Source organism: Homo sapiens, chromosome 11, assembly GCF_000001405.40.
Source record: "Homo sapiens chromosome 11, GRCh38.p14 Primary Assembly".
In the NCBI taxonomy this organism is placed as follows: Eukaryota; Metazoa; Chordata; class Mammalia; order Primates; family Hominidae; genus Homo; species Homo sapiens.
In genome coordinates this window covers 1,959,612-1,976,172 of record NC_000011.10, presented here as the reverse complement: position 1 = coordinate 1,976,172, position 16,561 = coordinate 1,959,612, and the positions used below count along the sequence as shown (strand labels likewise).

Here is a 16,561-nt window from a genome sequence, read left to right as displayed (position 1 = left end):
TGCTCAGACCCCGTGGGGAGGATTTGCTCAGACCCCGTGGGGAGGACATGCTCAGACCCCGTGGGGAGGATTTGCTCAGGCCCCATGGGGAGGACTTGCTCAGACCCCGTGGGGAGGATTTGCTCAGACCCCGTGGGGAGGACATGCTCAGACCCCGTGGGGAGGATTTGCTCAGACCCCGTGGGGAGGACTTGCTCAGACCCCGTGGGGAGGATTTGCTCAGACCCCAGGCAGGCATCATGAATGCGCCCAGCCCGGACCCCAGACTGGTAGCTCCTACCACACGCGGAGCAGCAGAGGCTGGCAAGAGGGACTCAGGACTTGGGCTGGGGACAGAGGGCCCTGCACAGCTCTGGGGTCCTGACCCAATCCTGCATTTCCATAGAGAGCTGCCTGGGCACCCATGCTGAGGGTCCCTGCACCCCCTGGTGTATCGGAGACCCTTCCCCCACCCCCTATCCCCCGCCACTGAGACACAGGAATGTACAGGATGGCTGTGAGGGCAGAGGCAGGCCCAGGGCGCAGCAGGCAGGGCTGGGCGGGGCTGGGGATCTGCAGGAGGTTGGCCCTGGAGATGGGACATGTCTGGACCCTCGGTGTCATCACCTCTATGTTTTGACCACTGAGCAAAATTACACTAAATGAAGCACAAATTAGCCAAGGGGACAGTCGACTCTGTCCTTTCTTCTTAATCCCTCTGGCTCAGGGTTTCCCAGCCTGGACAGCCTGTCCGAGGGGAAGGCTGCCCAAGGGCACACGGGCATCGGTCCGGGGACATTCAGGCAGTGACCAATCCCTGGCCACCCTGGTGTGTGCCCGGCAATGTGGGCCTTTTCCCAGACAGCCAGTGGGGGAGCGGCTGCTGTGGGTCCCTGAGTCTTAGCCAGATGGTCAAGGATAGGACAATGATGGAGACCCGCATGCGGCCGCATCCATGGGTAAAGGAGGCGGAACGGAGGACAGCTCTGCCATCCCCTCAGCCAGCCATGAAAAGCAACCCTTTCCCCTAAGGCCCCAGCACCACCTTGGAGGCCACCATGGGCTGGAGCCCAGCACAGCCACCATCGCATCTTGGCTGTCCAGCTCAGGACGGCCAGTTCCAAGGCGTCCAGGCTGGAGCTCTGGGGGCGGAAGAGCACAAGCTCCTGAAGAGCCTCTGGTCCAGCCCTGGCAGCGGAGGGCCAGGTGAGAGCCTGTTGAGGGCTCTGAGGACTCCAGGAGGGACTGGCTGAGGACACCGGTGGGGGTAATACCTCCCCCTCCAATGGCCGCTCGCAGGAGGCAATTCCCAGAGCCCCGCTCCATGGGCCACCAGGTACCCAGAGCCTCATTTAGAAATGGCCATGCCTCCCCACAGGCCCCCGCTGGGATCCTGGTGCTTCAAATGTCCTGCTGTGGTCCCAGGGAGGAGCAAAACCCCCTCCCAGTCAGGAAGCATCCTCAACCGCATCTAATTCCAGATGCTACCTCCCACCTTGGCTTTCCAGGAGACGGAGAACGGAGCCGGCCCCTCTCCAAGGCCCCGAGGCCCGGCAGGGCACCCCTCGGAGCAGATAAGCTCACCCCTGCTCCCAGGACAAGCAAGCTCCTGCTGAGGCTCTGCTACTGCTAATTGGCCCTTGGGATAAGCAGACCTGTCCAGGAAAGAACCCTCTCCCTGATCTCCTGGCCCCAGCCCCATCCGGCCGGGAGTTCTGACTTAAGCAAATAATCAGTCCAGGGAATTGGAGGCTCAACAGAATCGTCCTCCAGGAATCTGGTCTTCGTTCCTCCACCCTCCTCCTCCCGTCTCCGCCCGGGGTCTTGAGATCAACAGCAAGGTTTTGCACTCGTAGGGGCTTCCCGGAGACACCCTCCAGCCTCAACCCAGAGGAGATGGGTGCCTGGGCCGTGACCCCTCACACAAGAGGACCAAGCCCAGAGAGGAGACGGGAAGCCATGCGCCCGGCCAGCTGGGGTCTGCGATGGACTCAGTGGGGTCCAGCCCTCCTCACTCCAAGGGGAGCTGGGAGCCGACCCGGTGAGGGAGGGCATCCTGGGAAAGTGACAGGAATCAGGGAATGGCCCTGGGGCTCCGGACCTCCTCTGATGGAGTCATTCAAGGCCCTTGGCAGAGCTGGGCATCCTCTGGGCCCCAGGGAATAAGGTCCCCTCACTCCACCACAGAACAGCATCTGGGCACCTACCTGTTGGCCATGGGCAGAGCAAAACTCTCTCCTGGACCCCAGTGCCCAGAGCCCTGGCCTTGGGAGGGAGCTGTGCATCCTCAGGAGCCCCCCCGGGCTGCCCCCCACCACCCTGCAGGCAGCTCACCCTCCCACCCCACCAGCTGCAGGTGCGGACACGTGTCTTCTCCTTCCCCAAATGCTCGTTCTGCACCTGCTTCGGGAGGGCAGTCCTGCCTGCTCACAGCCCAGCCCTGCCCGAACTCCTGGCCATGTGTGGAAACACACGGGCGTTAGAACATGGCATCCCGGTTCCCTTCTATGTTCAGGAAGACGACACCCATCTGGCTGAGGGGATGGCAGAGCCCCTCTCCCCACAGCCCCCTCTGCAGTGCAGCTCTCCTTTCCTCTCCCCGCATGCCTCTTCCCGAGGGCAGCCCCTTCTCTCCATCAGGATCGCATGCCTCTTCTCGAGGGCGGCCCCTTCTCTCCATCAGGATCACCCTTCCTGGGCCTCCGGGGTGCAACGGGCGGGCGCTGTTTCCCCCAAGCCCTCCCTTCCTCCCTCGGGGTGGGGCCCTTTCCTCCAGGCTCTTCTCCGTCTCCTGGTCTCTGCCATCTCCCAAAACCCATTCTATTTCTCCACATGTCTACCTCGTCCCCCATCCGTCTCCATTCTCCTAGTCTCCCGCCTGCCAGCCCGGCCCTGGCACCAGCCACTTGGCAGCCTCCTCCTCCTCCTCCCAGAACCTTCTCTTTCCTTCCTGGTCCCATCTCAAACTGCAGCAAGCTGGTCGAAAGGTGAGACCAGGCTGGGAGGAGCTGTGGGCCACGGAGATGGTGGCCGGGGGAGGTATGGGAGGTGGGAGGGCAGGCGGGCCAGGTGGGGAGCAGGGCATCTTGCCATGGGAAGGGCTGGAGGAAACACCGCATCCAGGGATGGCCAGAGCTCGCCTGGAGCCCCTGAAGGTCTTGCTTTTAGAGCCGGGTGGGGCTGCTGTGTGGCCAAGCCGGGCGAGTGGCCCCATCCCCGGGTCCTGGGCTCCTGGCGTCTGCCCTGGAGCCCACCATGTTGCAGTACTGTGTGGCCGTCCATTGCTGCTCTCTTCACTGTATGACCGGGGGTTCCCTCTGTGCCCCTCAAAGCCCCAACTTGCCTGGACTTTGGGTCTGCAGCTGGCGCATGGGAATCTTCCCACATGGCAGCGTAGGGTGACTATGGAGCCGACCAAGGCTGCCAAGGTCTTACTTGAGTAGAAGACGTCCATCCTGAGCGATCCTGTTGGCCGGTCCTCCGGATCCAGCCTTCCTGGGAATGCGGCCACCCACAGGACTCCAAGCGGGTCTGGGGTCCCTGGTCCCCCAGGTTGACCACCCCTTGCTGCAGCTGCTCCGGAAACAGAGGGTGCTGCCCTGGCCATTTTGCTCCTTGCTGGGTGTCTGGGAGGGCTGCGAGGGGAGGAAGAAGGGCAGGGAGAGGTGAGAGACCCGAGAGAAGGGGGAAGGAGTCTCAAAGGAGGGGAGGGACGGCCGGCCAGCACTGTGGCGCAGTGTGCAGGAGGGGAACATGGCGGTGCCCGGCACGAGGTGGGGTGCGGGGCAGCCCTGGAGCCCTGGCTGCCTCTCCCAGCAGTGGGTCCGGCACTAGCTAGCCAGCTGAGCTTGCTGTGTTTGGAGTCTGCAGAAAGTGCTGCCCCGCCAAGCCCCACAGGCCAAGCCAGGCCCGAGGGACAGGAAGGAGCATGGGGCCTTCACTCACTGCCCAGCCCGGGGCACGGCCGGCCCATCTCCCATTTCCAGGGCATCCGGGGACGGGCACGCCCCGGATACTTACTGCCCTGTCACTGGAGGTTAGCATCCTCCCTCGTCCGGTGCCCTGCCCAGGTGGCTGTTACCTCCCCTACCTCCTCCAAGACCCTGAGCAGGGGGAGAAAGAAAGTGGACAGAGGCACCCGACCTCCTGACCTGAGTGTGGTCCCCGCTTTGTTCCCCCTTCCTCTGCCCCCAGTTCTCACTGCGAAGGAGGAGAGGGCTCACCTGGGGTGGCCCCACGTGCCTGCCAGCCTTGGTCCAAGACTGCAGAGAAGGGTCCCTGAGGAGGTGGGGAGGAACCCAGAGGCAGATCCTGAGGGTCTTCCCTGAAAGAGGAGGGCTGGTGGGCAGCAGGAAGATCCGGGATTGTGCCCTCAGCTGCCCTCTCTGTCCTGACGTGTCACCCGCTAAGGGTCATGGGCCAAGGAGGGAACGGGCAATGTCTGGGAGCCATAGAGTTGGGATGGCCCGGCCAGGCTGGGTGTGGGGTCTGTTGGGGATCCCAGGTGAGGGGAAGGAATTGGGAGTGGACCTGGGCCCGAGGCAGGTTGGGTGGCTGGTGCAAGGCAGAGGGCTGGCCCCGGGGGCATTCTGTCCTGGTTCCTCTGTCCCCTCACCCAGTTCGTGAGCATCCCTCGTGGAGCAGGCCCCAGGGAGATCACGGGCGGCGGGTGGGCAGATGGAGTGCAATATCCCCCAAGGAAAGTGTGTTGTGAGGTGGTGGAGGGCAGGGCCGGAGAGGCCCCAGCTGTGGAGCAGGACGCTGGAGGGCTCAGGGCAGCCGAGCCAGGGCCCGGGGCAGCCGCAAAGTGGCACTGTGTTCTTTTGGGCCGGACCAGAGCCCAGGCAGTGTCAGGAGGTGGATGGTGTGGAAGAGAGAGGAGTTCCAGGGGCGCACTGGGGGGCCCTCTGTGTGGCTGGAAGGTGGAGGGGCGCTGGGTGGAAGGGCTGGCTTCGGGCTGGCGGCTTGGGCTAAGGCAGGCTTGCAGGGGCTGGCTCCTGAACCCACGCATGGCGAGAAGTATGGGCTGGAGCGGCCACAGCATTGGGGAAAGACAGATGGGAGGGCTGGACAGGAAGCAGGGCTGTGGCCAGGCCGGGGCCCCGGGAGGACAGGGACGAGTGGTGGACGTGAGGGTGCAGAGGAGCAAAGTCCAGGACTTGGCCCGGATCGGGATGCTCAGGAGGCTGGGGATGCTCGGAGGAAAGCAATGGGGGAGCCCGGCTGCCTGCCCCACCCCTGCCACCCTCAGCTCCTTCTGCCCGCCAGGACTCCCAGGCTCCATCAGGTGCCGCAGCACCCTGGCTGCGACATAACGAGGTGGGACAGGGTCAGCAAGGTGACTTCTCGTGCCCCAGTGTTTGCAAATCCCCAAAATGACCCAACAGACAAGCTCGAGGCTGGATTTTCCAAGAGGGCCCCTTCAAGTACCAAAGGACACAAAGAGCAGGCCCTTCTGAGTCTGCGGCCCACAGATGGCAACACGGGCCCCGGACCCCAGGACCACCTTGGGCACAGAGCGGCTGGGCCCAGGAGGCTGGCCTCTCCCGGGGATCCCACGGCTGGCCTGCGGGGCTGCAGCAAACACGTGCAGGGCTTTCCAGAGCCCCGCACAGAACAAAGAACAAAATGGGGAGAGCAGGGCCTGGGCTGAACGGACCACGGGCGGGTGGGCGGAGGGGCACAGCGGCATGGCACCCACTGCCAGGCCGAGGGCAGCTGCAGGGGGCTGGGCTGGAGCAGACCCGGGGTGGGGGTGGGGGCTGGAGGAGGCTCTCACGGCCGGAATCAATAACTCACACTGGGGGAGGGCGGGAGACGCTTGTGGCGGAGCGGGGAGGGGGTGCCGGACAGGGTGTCCCTCCACCCCCAAGTTCAAAGTTTTATGGCGAGCAGGCTTGACTTCCTCCCGCGTCCCTCCTCTCCAGGTGTTATTTGAAAAAAATACTTTTCAAACTACATGCTGAAAACTTCAGCATGAAAATTTAATGTCAGAAACTCTGTAATCTCTTTCCCAGAGATAAGACCCAGCCCCTCGAGGAGGGGCGAACTCGATCCCTCTAACACAGAAAGCAGACGCCAGGCCGGGAAGGCAGGGGCCTGGCGGCCTCACTGGGGGAGGCTCAGGCTCACGCTCCCTCCCTCCCTCCCACCCGCGGCTGGGAGGGGGTGACTGAGAGAGGCCCTGCAGGGCTGGAGCTGCAGGGCTGGGGCGAGGGGTCCGGCAGGAGGGGCCGTCCTAGTGCAGCCTGCAGGCTTCGGGCCTTCGGGAAGCACATCCTGCCGCTCTCCCGCGTGCACCCCGCTCCCCGGAACTTGGAGTGGGTGCCGCTGCTGCCAAGGCTCGGGTTTCCATGACGGCTGAGGCCCCTGGCCCTCTCACTCAGACCCTAACTTAGGCCTCGCTGAGGGCTCAGGTTGTGGACAGCTAAGCTGGGGAAGGACAACGTGGCCACCACCGCCCACGGCCTTTCTGACCGGCAGCGCCGCCCTGGGTTGGGTGGCGGGGGCGTCCTGCACACACGACTCCTGAGGTCAAGCCTGGGTGTGGGGGTCTTGGACTCTGAGCTGCCAGGCCCGCCGGGTCCTGGCCTCAGGGAGAGGGGAACGGAGCTGCCACACACCCGGCTCTTGACTCGATTTCTCTGTGGGGGACAGACATAACTTCTCCAAGCTGTTTCCAACAGCCCCCACCCTGAAGACGGCCTCCACCTCAGACATCAGACAACGCCCCGAGCCCCCCCTGCCCAGGGCCGGGAGGGCAGGCTGCCCGGAAGGAGGGTGGGGCTGCCCGGGGGCTGGGTGTGCGCTCCAGACCTGTGTTCTGGGACTGCATTCCGGGGGAGGGGGTGGTGGGAAGGCGCCATGTGGAGCAAACCGGCTGGGCTGGGGGCAGGAGGCCCCCCAAGCGGGGAGAGGGAGGCGTCCGACCGACCGCACTGCTCTGCTGCCCCCACCAGGCAGGCCGAGGCCGGCATCCCCGGAGACCGGGACCTGGTGGCCCAGCCCAGCACTCCTGAATGAGCCTGAGGCCCCCGTGTCCTGAGAGGCAGGGGGCTCCCTCCTTTGTAGCGGAAGGAGACAGAGGCCTCCTAAAGGGGCCGGACGCCTGCCCAAGGCGCTAGTCGCCTGGAAGCTCCCAGAATGTGGGTGTGGGAGAGGCCAAACTGCTTTCTCCCCAAACCCCAAAATCCTGGGTGACCCTGAACCCGGGCCTGGGCACTTGGCCCTGTCTGCCCAAGCCCCCTACCGGCCCCCCCATGTGCTTTGCGTGGTCCGAGCCCAGCGGGTGGGGCAGGGCTGGCTTGAGGCTGCCGAGAGGGTTTCTCCCCAACCGTCCTGCCCCCTCCAGGGGACATGCAGAGCCAGACTGGTCTGTTGTCCTGTGTTTGCCTGCCTCTCCCGGTGTTGCCGTGGTGATGACACACCAGGCATGGCTGGGAGGGGTCATACCTCAGGCAGACCAAGAGTCCTGCGTGTCCACCACAGACGGCACCCCCTCAGGATGCCCACGCCCTGGCCCCCGGCTCCCAGGCCTTGTCGAGAATGTTCCATGAGCCTGACGGACAGGCACGAGGTCCAGCGTGTGAGGCCCAGGCCGCTGCTCCGGCGCCTGCCCTTGCATCCCCACAGCACCCCGCCCAGCCACCCTATCTGTCCTCGGGGTCCCCCCAGCCGTCTCAGGTCCAGGCTGCTGGGTGTGAGAAGCGCCCTGGGTTTCTGCTGTGTCCCTGCCCCCTGACGAGGAGCGCTTCTCTTCCTGCACCCACAGCCCCACACAGCCCCTCCACGCCCCAGGGTCCCCCAGCCAACCCAGCGTCCTATCTGCTGCTTGCAGCTGAGCCTGCGGCGGGGGACCCCAGGCAAATATGAGGAAGCCTGGGCAGAAGGTGGCCCCTGCAGAAGCTGCTGCCCACGTGCCCCCGCCCCATGCTGCCAGGAGAGGCTCGGACCTCAACAACTTGGGAGTGGCAGAAATGGTCTCTGCATGACCAGTGCGGCCCCTTCTTAGCCCCTTCCTGGGGCTTCCGGAGGGCCTAGCAGCTTCCCTGGCTGGGGGCTGAGGGGCCTCCGGGCGGCGACTCTTGGAAAAGCCTGAGGTCAGAAGAGTTCAGAAACGGCCGTGCTGGCTGGGTCCTCTTGACTGATGTGGACAACTGTGTCCCATCTCCCTGAGCTATTTCTGTTTTCGCAGGAGTCAGGGGAGGGCTGGAACTCCGGCTTCCCGGCATCCCGGCGGGCAACCAGATACCCTCAGATAAAGGGCATTCCTGCAGGCCTTCATCACGCTCCCCGGGCAGCTGCTGGCCCCTCACCCTGCACAAGTGGGCACGTCCTCCCTGAGCCCCGAGGGAGGCTCGGAACACATAGTTTCCCTGTTATGTACCAGCTGAGGGGCCCGGTGGATTTAGCTGGGGTGAGGCCCAGGGGCCCAGGCGAGCAGGGGATGTTCTCGTAGGGAGGACAGGGCTGAGATGGGAAGAGCAGCTGGTCCTAAGCCCCACAGGGCCCCCCCACAGGGTCCCCTCAGGGCCCCGAGCCTGGGTTTTATTTTGGGAGGCACCTTCTAGAGTGTAAGCTGCCTCATCCCGCGGGCACGCGTGGGGTCGCCCAGGACCTAGGGGATCCTTCAGCCGGCTGTCCAGCTCCGGGACTCTGGGTTCCCGGGAACCCTTGGGGGCTGATGTTCTGAGCATGTTTGCTCCGCAGTGTTCTCAGCCACACCTGCACCCTAGCAGGATGCCAGAGGGCTTTTCCCAGACTTCAGAGCTGAGGCCCGGGCCTGGCGGGCGCCCCCTCCTCCAGCAGGACGGGAACCAACCATTCACTCAAGCCACGAGCACCCCACGGGCTGCCCTGAAGAGCTGTTGGGAGGAGAGGGTCCATGATCCCAGGCTCTGAAGACCTCTGTGCCCAGCAGCGGGGCCTCTGGAGGGTGAGGAGGGATGCGTATCAGGAGCAGTCCATTGCCGGCTGGTGGGGTTTGTTTTGTTAAACCGAAAGAAAAACAGCAGCAGCAGCACAGAGCCCCGGGGCAGCTGACCTCCTGAAGCCAGGCAGGGTGCCTGGGCAGGGCCCCAAAACCACAGAGGAGCCCCAGCCAGCCCTCTGGGGAGCAGGGTCAGGCACCCCGACAGAGGGTGACCAGGACACACGACCCGGCGGCCCTGCAGCCCCCCAGCACCTCCTCACTGGGGACCAGCCTGTCGGCAGGAGGCAGCCCTGGGGGTCGGGGACACAGTCCCAAGGAAGGCTAGGACCTGGAACGCTCCTTAAGGGGTGAGACACCCCTGGGGGGCAGAGCTAGGCCCTGACCAGGGTGGGGACTGCGGAGGAGCTGAGCTGGCTCCAATCGGTGCATGGCTGGCTGTCTAGGGGCAGCACAGAGGGAGGTCCCATCCCAGGCCAGCAGTGGCAATGCCATCTCTGAAAAACGGTCCGTGCCATGAGGCCTGAGCCTCCGGTGCCCTTGCCTGGCATGCTCTGCCACACCGTGGCCGCGTGAGGGACAGACAGCGCGGGACAGAATCCCACCTGGCAGGGAGGTGGCAGGCTTGCCATGTGCCAGCAGGCACCGGGGGAGGAGGGGCTGGGTATCGGGGGCGGGGACCCTCAGGGCGAAGCTCGATGTTAGGCGGGCTTCTTCTGGAGGGCCGTGTCTCCTGGGCAAGCATTATCATCTCCACGTTTTATTTTATTATATTATTATTTATGTATTTATTGAAACAGAGTCTTGCTCTGTCACCCAGGGTGGAGTGCAGTGGTGCAACCTCCACCTTCCAGGTTCAAGTGATTCTCCTACCTCAGCCTCCCGAGTAGCTGGGATTACAGGCGCCCACCACCACACCTGGCTAATTTTTGTATTTTTAGTAGAGACAGGGTTTCTCCATGTTGGCCAGGCTGGTCTCGAACTCTTGGACTCAAGTGATCCACCCACCTCAGCCTCCCAAAGTGCTGGGATTACAGGCATGAGCCACTGCATCTGGCCTCGTCTCCACATTTTAGACAAATCAAGACAAAGTGACAGCCAGGGGCCTCAGGCTTGCAAGGCAGCAGCTCAAAGTGGAAACCCGGACTCCTGGCCCCTCACCCAGGCCGCACACCCACAGCCAGGCCTCCCTCCCAGAAGCCGCCACCAGGCCTGCTCCGGGGCCCCAGCTTCCTGTGCTCCCGGTCCAGGCGGTGGCCATTGTCTGCCAGCCATTAGGAACCAGCTGGGGGAAGTGCCATGCCCCAGCCCCTGGGCAGCCCATGTGTCCCTCCTACACCCGCGGGCAGGGCCCTCGAGTCCCAGGTCCCAGTGGCCAGCCATCGGTCCTCTCACTAACCGCAGGATGGCCACTGAAGGCCAGAAGGGTGGGGGCCTTGGGGGCTACCCGAAAATCTCTCCCACCATGGCCCAGGCCCATGGGCGTTCTGTGGCTCCAGCCTGTGGCTCGGGGTGGGCGGTTGGGGGGCTGGGTTTTCTGACCCCGGTGGTGGTGAATGAACAGCAGAGCCCCATCTACGCCCCCGGCCTGCCGGCTCGCTGGCCTTCCTAATGAGCGTGTGTTTCCAGAGCCCTTTGATCTGGGGCTTTAATGACCATCCCCTACCGAGGAGCCACCAATCAATGGGTCCGCCCCCTCCCCAGTGTGTGCACAACCAAAGCCGGGCTTATCCAGGCCCCCTGACCGGCAGCCCTGAGGCTGAGGGCTCCCACTCCCGCCCGGGGTCACCAGGATGTTCTCAGGTGGCATTCCAGGTGGGACGAGCCCAGCTCCTCCTCAATGCCTCGATGCCCACGGCCAGGCCCAGCTGCCCTGGGGTCATCTGGGCACCTCCTGGCCCATGATGGGGGAGGGAGTGGCCGAGCTGTGCTGGCTCCCACCTTCGGGCACCGGGGGGTCTGCTCGGAACATGGAAAGAAGACAAGACATGGCCTCAGCTCTGACTCAGGGCATGGGAGCAGCCTGCGCTTCACACGGTCGGTCCCCCACTCTGCTTGGGGGGCCCTCCTCCCGAGCTCCATCCTGGGTGGGCCAGGGCCCTCTCCCCGTGGGGTCTCCAAGCCCCAACACTCGGCCCGCAGTGTTCGGCGGGTGTGCCATCCATACTGTCCTGCTGGCAGAAGCCGTGCCCTCCGCTGGCCCTGAGGAGACCGCTGCTGCTGTTCCCGCCACTGGGGACACCCTGACTACCAAGCGTAGTTAACAAAGTGGGGGGCGCAACAGGCTGTGTCTCCAATGTGGCGATGGGGGGACCCACGCTGTCCCTGCCGACGGGGAGGCGAGGGCCGCAGGGCAAGGCGGGAGCCCCAGCGGGGACTGCAGGGGTCCAGCTCTTTGGGGCCACCCTTCCCCCAGGGCACCCCTCACTCGCGCCCACGCACGCGCAGACGGGAAATGAGACCTGCGAGGCCGGGCTCGGCCCTCCCCCTCTCTGGCAGCAGGCATGGGGTTTTATGAGTGCTACAAATCAGATATCACACAGTTTGGGGCTGACATGGTTTTTGCAAGAATTATTTAAGGCCCTGGCCGCCGGTAAAGTCCCAGGGAGAACGGGGCAGGGCGCACCCAGCTGCTGGGGCCGTCGGAATTCCAAACACTTCGTAAAGCTAAGGTATGAGCCGCGAGCACCTTGTTCTGTTTAACAGGCTGCTTCACCCCTGCCCTGGGCCGCGCGAGGGCTGCCGGGAACACCTCCCCCAGGCCAGGAGGAGGGGGCCGCCTGCAGCTGGGAAAGCTGGGGCCTGCCTGGGCGGCCCTGGCTCCAGGCTGAGAAGCTGAGAGGGAGTGAGTTGAAGGGTTGGCCCCGCTAGCATCTCCTCCCAACCCCGAAGCACTGCCCAGGGTCCTGCTGTCAACCCCACACACGGGGCCTGAGCCGCTCCTGGTGGTCTCCTGTGCTCCATCCTGGGCCCGGCTCGCTCCTCCTGGGGTCTGTGGCAAACTCTCGCAGGCCGGGACCATGCCCAGTGCCCACGCGCCGGGAGCACGGCGGTGTCCTCGCCTGGAATGGGCCTCACTCGGCATCTGTGACTGGTCAGTTCTGCCGGCCGAGCCTGCTGCTAACTGGGCCGTGTCACGGGCTCAGGCTGTCCTCTGGCTACTTCCCTGCTACTTCCCTTCAGTGGGCCCAGGCCAAGGCGGGGAGCGCAGATGTGCCCAATGTCACCACTGCCGGAGGAGGGACGGCCATGTGGGTGGCCCGGGGCACCCCAGGTACACCCCAGGAAGCTGCTCATGGGTACCCATTGGTGAGGAGGGTGCAGGGGGAGGCACACGCCAATTCATCAACCTCAGGGATGCGTTCAGGTTTCTATCCTGGGATATTTGAGCACTTCCATAATTATCCAAATACCAGTGGCGTCTCGTACTGACAGACAATGGCACCCTTCCTTCTGCGATCAGTGCTAAAACCCACGACACTGTCATCACGCAGAGTGCTGAGCAACCGCGCTGAGAATACGGGACGCACGGACACGAAGCCCTCCCAGTGAACCTGTGGGAAGGAGGCGAGCAGCATCGCGTGACCGGGACTGGCCCGGCTAAGGGGGCTCTGCAGAGCAGGGCCATGGGCTCCCCAATCTGGAGGGGAGGCTGCTCACTCATTACCTGGCCTCTCCACCCACTGAGTGCCCTGAACCAGGCCTCTGCCTCAGGGGTGCCCTCAGGGGAACTCAGAGGACTGTGCAAAGGTGGGCTTCGAGTCCCTGACGCTGCGTGGAGGGCCTCTGCCGTGCGGATGCCAGGCAGGAAGGAGTGGAGAAGCAGGAAGGGGCGTTACTGTCGGACCCAACGGGCCCATCCCTTTCCAGCCCCCAACTTCCCTGGGGTGACGGGGCCTGGACCTGTGGACCCCTGTCTCTGCGGGAAATGTTTGCTGCAGGTCCCACGGCTGCACCCTCCTGGGACAGGCTGCGGACCCTGCACATCTGAGCTTCTATGAATTCCATGTAGAATTCCATGGGATTTCTGGAATCTTCTGTCTCATGTCTCTCAGTGAGGGAGGATGGCAAAGAACGTCAGAGGGAAGGATGGGGTAGCGGCTCTGTCCTGGGCCTGAGGGACGTCTCTGAAGGCCAGCGCCCCCAGCCTCCCACCATGGGCGCCCCAGAGCAGGGGTCACTCTAGCCATGGGGTGAGCCCCCTAGGGTCTCAGCTTTGCAGAGCTGGGCCCAGGCCAAGGCAAGGAGTGCAGATGTGAGGGGGAGAACGGTGGGGGGTCTCCCACCCTCTCGCAGAGCTGGCTTTGTGCAGGGAGAATGCAGGCCTGGCCGGCCCTCCCCATTGGACACAGCGTCAGGGCCCCAGCGTCCACGGAGGCCAGGGCCAATCAAAGCCAGATGTCGGAGAAACAAGAAAAGCTGACTATTTTGACTAGAAAAAGCCCTATTTACAAAGAAATAATGAAGCGATTTGGGGGGACTGGTGCTGGGGATGATCTCAGACAGGGTGGGGTGGTGAACGCAGATGCCCAACAGGTCACTCAGGGCCCGTGTGTCCCCACCCGGCATGGTGTGGTCTCAGGCCTCGCAGGGTGCGGCTCCTGACAGGCTGAGCTGGGTGGGAACCTTGAGGGACGTCCCCTCAGACACCCAGACCCAGGAAGCAGCCGTATCTGGAGGCGCAGGAGAGGCTGGAACACGGGGGCCCCAGCAGTCCTGTCCACCCGGCATGCCATGGCAAAGTGCAGCGTCCACTATGGAGAGCATCCTAGGGCAGGCGGAGGGGTGGAAATGTGGTCAAAGAGAAGAATTCTTGGCCTTGAAAGGACTCTTAGCCGGCTACGGAGATGAGACGGGCACTCACGTACACCGCAGCCCAGGCCCTGGCCACCACGCACAGGGCACTGCAGGCATCGTGCTTGCTCCCAGGGCCCCAAGACGCAAAGGCGACAATGCAGGGAATTCTGGGGGTGCGGAGCTGTGAGCGGTGCTGGAGACAGAGAGGCAGGGACCGAGGGTGCGGCACCTGGGGAGGAGGAGGACAGAGACACGAAGATGGCAGAGAATGACAGGGAAGGGAGCATGCACAAGGCGGCCAGAGCCCTGGGGCTGGGCACCTCGGTCCAACCCCTGAGCCCCAACCCGAGCCCCAGCCCGGGCCAAGCTCCCAGCGCCCTGCAGGAACCGCCTGGGGGCCAGCCCAAGAGCAACACGCCATCCGCATCCACGCCTCTCCCCAGCTTCCAGGCCACTCGGGAGCCCACCTGCGCCCCTCGTGAGAAGCAGCCCAGGAAGATGTCGCCTTCATGAGCACACCATCTGGAGCTCCACGGTAGGGACGTCTGTGGAGCCGGCCCCATCCCTCGGCCGCCCTCAGGCACCTCTAGAGCCTGGGACAGTCACTTCCTCAGTGAGGCTACAGCAGCCTCACATGCACACCCCAGGCAAGAAAATGCCCGATCCCTCCAAGAGAAACGGCAAGTTCACATCCACGTAAAAATGTGCACACACGTGTGCACCACAACCTTGCTCACGAGAGCCAAAAGGCGGAAGCCGCCACGTGTCCACTGATGGACGGCGGATGAACACGCGGACCGTTCACCCAGTGGAGCACGACTCAGCCACAGAGGGAAGGAGATCCTGGGGCAGGCTGCGACATGGGTGCGCCCTGAAGATGCCACACCAAGTGAAATAAGCCAGACACGAAAAGCCACACAGACCCTGAGTGGTTCACTCATGAAACATCCAGAACAGGCCAATCCAAAGCAGACCAGTCATAGCCAGGGGCAGAAGGGAGCAGGGAGCTGGGAGCTCCAGCTAAGGGGTGCACATTGCTTTCTGGGTGATGAAAATGTCCTAGTAGGCTACACAACTCTGGGAATATACTAGAAGCCATTGAGTGGGTGGATTTTAGGGTATGTGAACTTCATCTCAATAAAGCTGTTTTTTAAAAATAGAAAAGAGCATCCCAAGGCCAGTGCTCTCTCAGATCACTGCAGCCACAGGCCTCCTGCTCTGGGGGACCCCCCATGGCCAGGCAGGGATGCCAGGCGGTGCTCGGCTCACGCCACCTGCCCACTCAGCCAGGCCCTGGCCAGGAGCACCCACCAAAGCCCGAGGAAGAGGATGGCAGCCTGGCTTTCCCACCTGGCCAAGCTGACTTCCTGAATCGGGCACTCACTCACTCACTCGTTCACTCAGCTAATACGGCTGATGGTTGCAGGAAAGGTGGGAGGTGGGAGGGCAGTCCCAAGATGGCAGCCACTACAGCTACCTTCAAGGGGCTGGCCTTCTCCAGCCTGTCCTCACTTTAAGCCCTGGGGTGGACCAGGAGGAACCGCTGTGTCCCTGGCCTTCGTCCCCTGCTGGAGGCCAGAAGATGGGAACCCCCAGTGCAGACAGGCAACCGCGAATGTGACTTCAGGTTCTAGACTGCAGAGGCATGTGTTGGCTTGAGGCAGAGGGGCCCAAGGAGGTGGGTGGGGGCAGGATGGGGCAGAGGAGGAGCCCAGGGAGCCAGGGACAGGAAGAGCCCACTCCTGCCCCAGCACCTGGCTGCTCATCTGCCACCAGGTACGGAAGTGATGCCATAGATGGGACACTATCAAGCCGCCCCAGGAACACTGCCAGCTCCCAAAGAGGAGAACCAGATGCCCCAGATGCCCTCAGGAGGCATCTGGAGGCGCAGGAGAGGCTGGAACACGGGGGCCCCAGCAGTCCTGTCCACCCGGCATGCCATGGCAAAGTGCAGCGTCCACTATGGAGAGCGTCTTAGGGCAGGCGGAGGGGTGGAAATATGGTCAAAGAGAAGAATTCTTGGCCTTGAAAGAACTCTTAGCCGGTTAGGGAGATGAGACGGGCACTCACGTACACCGCAGCCCAGGCCCTGGCCACCACGCACAGGGCACTGCAGGCATCTCTGCAGGGCCCCAAGACGCAGAGACGACAATGCAGGGAATTCTGGGGGTGCGGAGCTGTGAGCGGTGCTGGAGATAGAGAGGAGGGGACCGAGGGTGCGGCACCTGGGGAGGAGGAGGACAGAAGACAGAGGGGTTTCTGCTCCATTCCGGCAGCTTGGCTCTTACCTGGAGCTGCCAGGGCATGGGCTCCTGTGGGCCGTAGAGCTGGGCCCATCATGGCTATAAACTCATCAGCATAGAGAAGTGGGGCCGTCCAGCTATGAGCACAGCCCGGTGCGGTCCCGAGGGCCCTCCACCCCTTCCCATGCACGCAGCATGGCACTGCCTGGGCCTTGCATCACCCCTGCATGGCAATAAATGAACATGAATGGGGACACGGAGCAGCGCTGTCGGCTCTCTCCCTCGTCCTGTTGCCTTTGTCTCTGGCTGTCCCCGACCCTGCTCCCAGCTGGAGATGTCCACGAGGGGAAGGGCTGTCATGTTGGGGGCGACCGAGGCAAGGCCGCGGGCCCACTTGCTATCTCTTGGGTCAGGGTCCCTCTCCCACTCCTGCCACGCTGAGGATGTCCAGACACAGGCGGGAGTGGTCCTGTCAGCCTTGGGAGATGCATCTTTCCGGGCGAGTTCCTTCTGCAGGAACAGCCTGTTTGGGTTGGACAGGGGTCTTGCCCAGGTGTGGGGGTGGTGAGGTTGACGCCCGGGCCGGAGGGGCCCTGTGAGACCCTCTCTGGTC

The 16,561-nt window shown here is 63.7% G+C and overlaps 1 protein-coding gene across 4 annotated transcripts in view, besides 5 other annotated features; it reads right to left on the bottom strand.

Annotated features, from left to right (window-relative positions):
- The window catches only part of MRPL23 (mitochondrial ribosomal protein L23), a 67,613-nt gene that overhangs the window by 38,772 nt on the left and 12,280 nt on the right, over positions 1-16,561 (bottom strand). For 3 of the 4 annotated variants that reach the window (XM_011520273.2, NM_001400176.1, NM_001400179.1), the window contains exon 5: positions 3,415-3,614. In XM_011520273.2, the coding sequence (XP_011518575.1) occupies positions 3,415-3,614 (200 nt within the window). Of the gene's footprint in view, positions 1-3,414; positions 3,615-13,334; positions 13,935-16,561 lie in introns of those variants that run through there. The other variant, NM_001400182.1, reaches the window with a different exon arrangement.
- Positions 10,031-12,331: an enhancer, noted in NCBI's record as "VISTA enhancer hs1488". NCBI's record gives its function as "enhancer in: hindbrain (rhombencephalon)[11/12] | midbrain (mesencephalon)[10/12] | limb[12/12] | eye[8/12]" and the evidence as "EXISTENCE:transgenic organism evidence [ECO:0001131][PMID:17130149]".
- Positions 10,031-12,897: a biological region, named in NCBI's record as "VISTA enhancer hs1488".
- Positions 10,677-11,416: an enhancer, noted in NCBI's record as "H3K27ac-H3K4me1 hESC enhancer chr11:1985987-1986726 (GRCh37/hg19 assembly coordinates)". NCBI's record gives its function as "activates a minimal SCP1, AML or CMV promoter by ChIP-STARR-seq in naive H9 embryonic stem cells {active_cell/tissue: H9 hESC(naive)}" and the evidence as "EXISTENCE:reporter gene assay evidence [ECO:0000049][PMID:30033119]".
- Positions 11,417-12,156: an enhancer, noted in NCBI's record as "H3K27ac-H3K4me1 hESC enhancer chr11:1985247-1985986 (GRCh37/hg19 assembly coordinates)". NCBI's record gives its function as "activates a minimal SCP1, AML or CMV promoter by ChIP-STARR-seq in naive H9 embryonic stem cells {active_cell/tissue: H9 hESC(naive)}" and the evidence as "EXISTENCE:reporter gene assay evidence [ECO:0000049][PMID:30033119]".
- Positions 12,157-12,897: an enhancer, noted in NCBI's record as "H3K27ac-H3K4me1 hESC enhancer chr11:1984506-1985246 (GRCh37/hg19 assembly coordinates)". NCBI's record gives its function as "activates a minimal SCP1, AML or CMV promoter by ChIP-STARR-seq in naive H9 embryonic stem cells {active_cell/tissue: H9 hESC(naive)}" and the evidence as "EXISTENCE:reporter gene assay evidence [ECO:0000049][PMID:30033119]".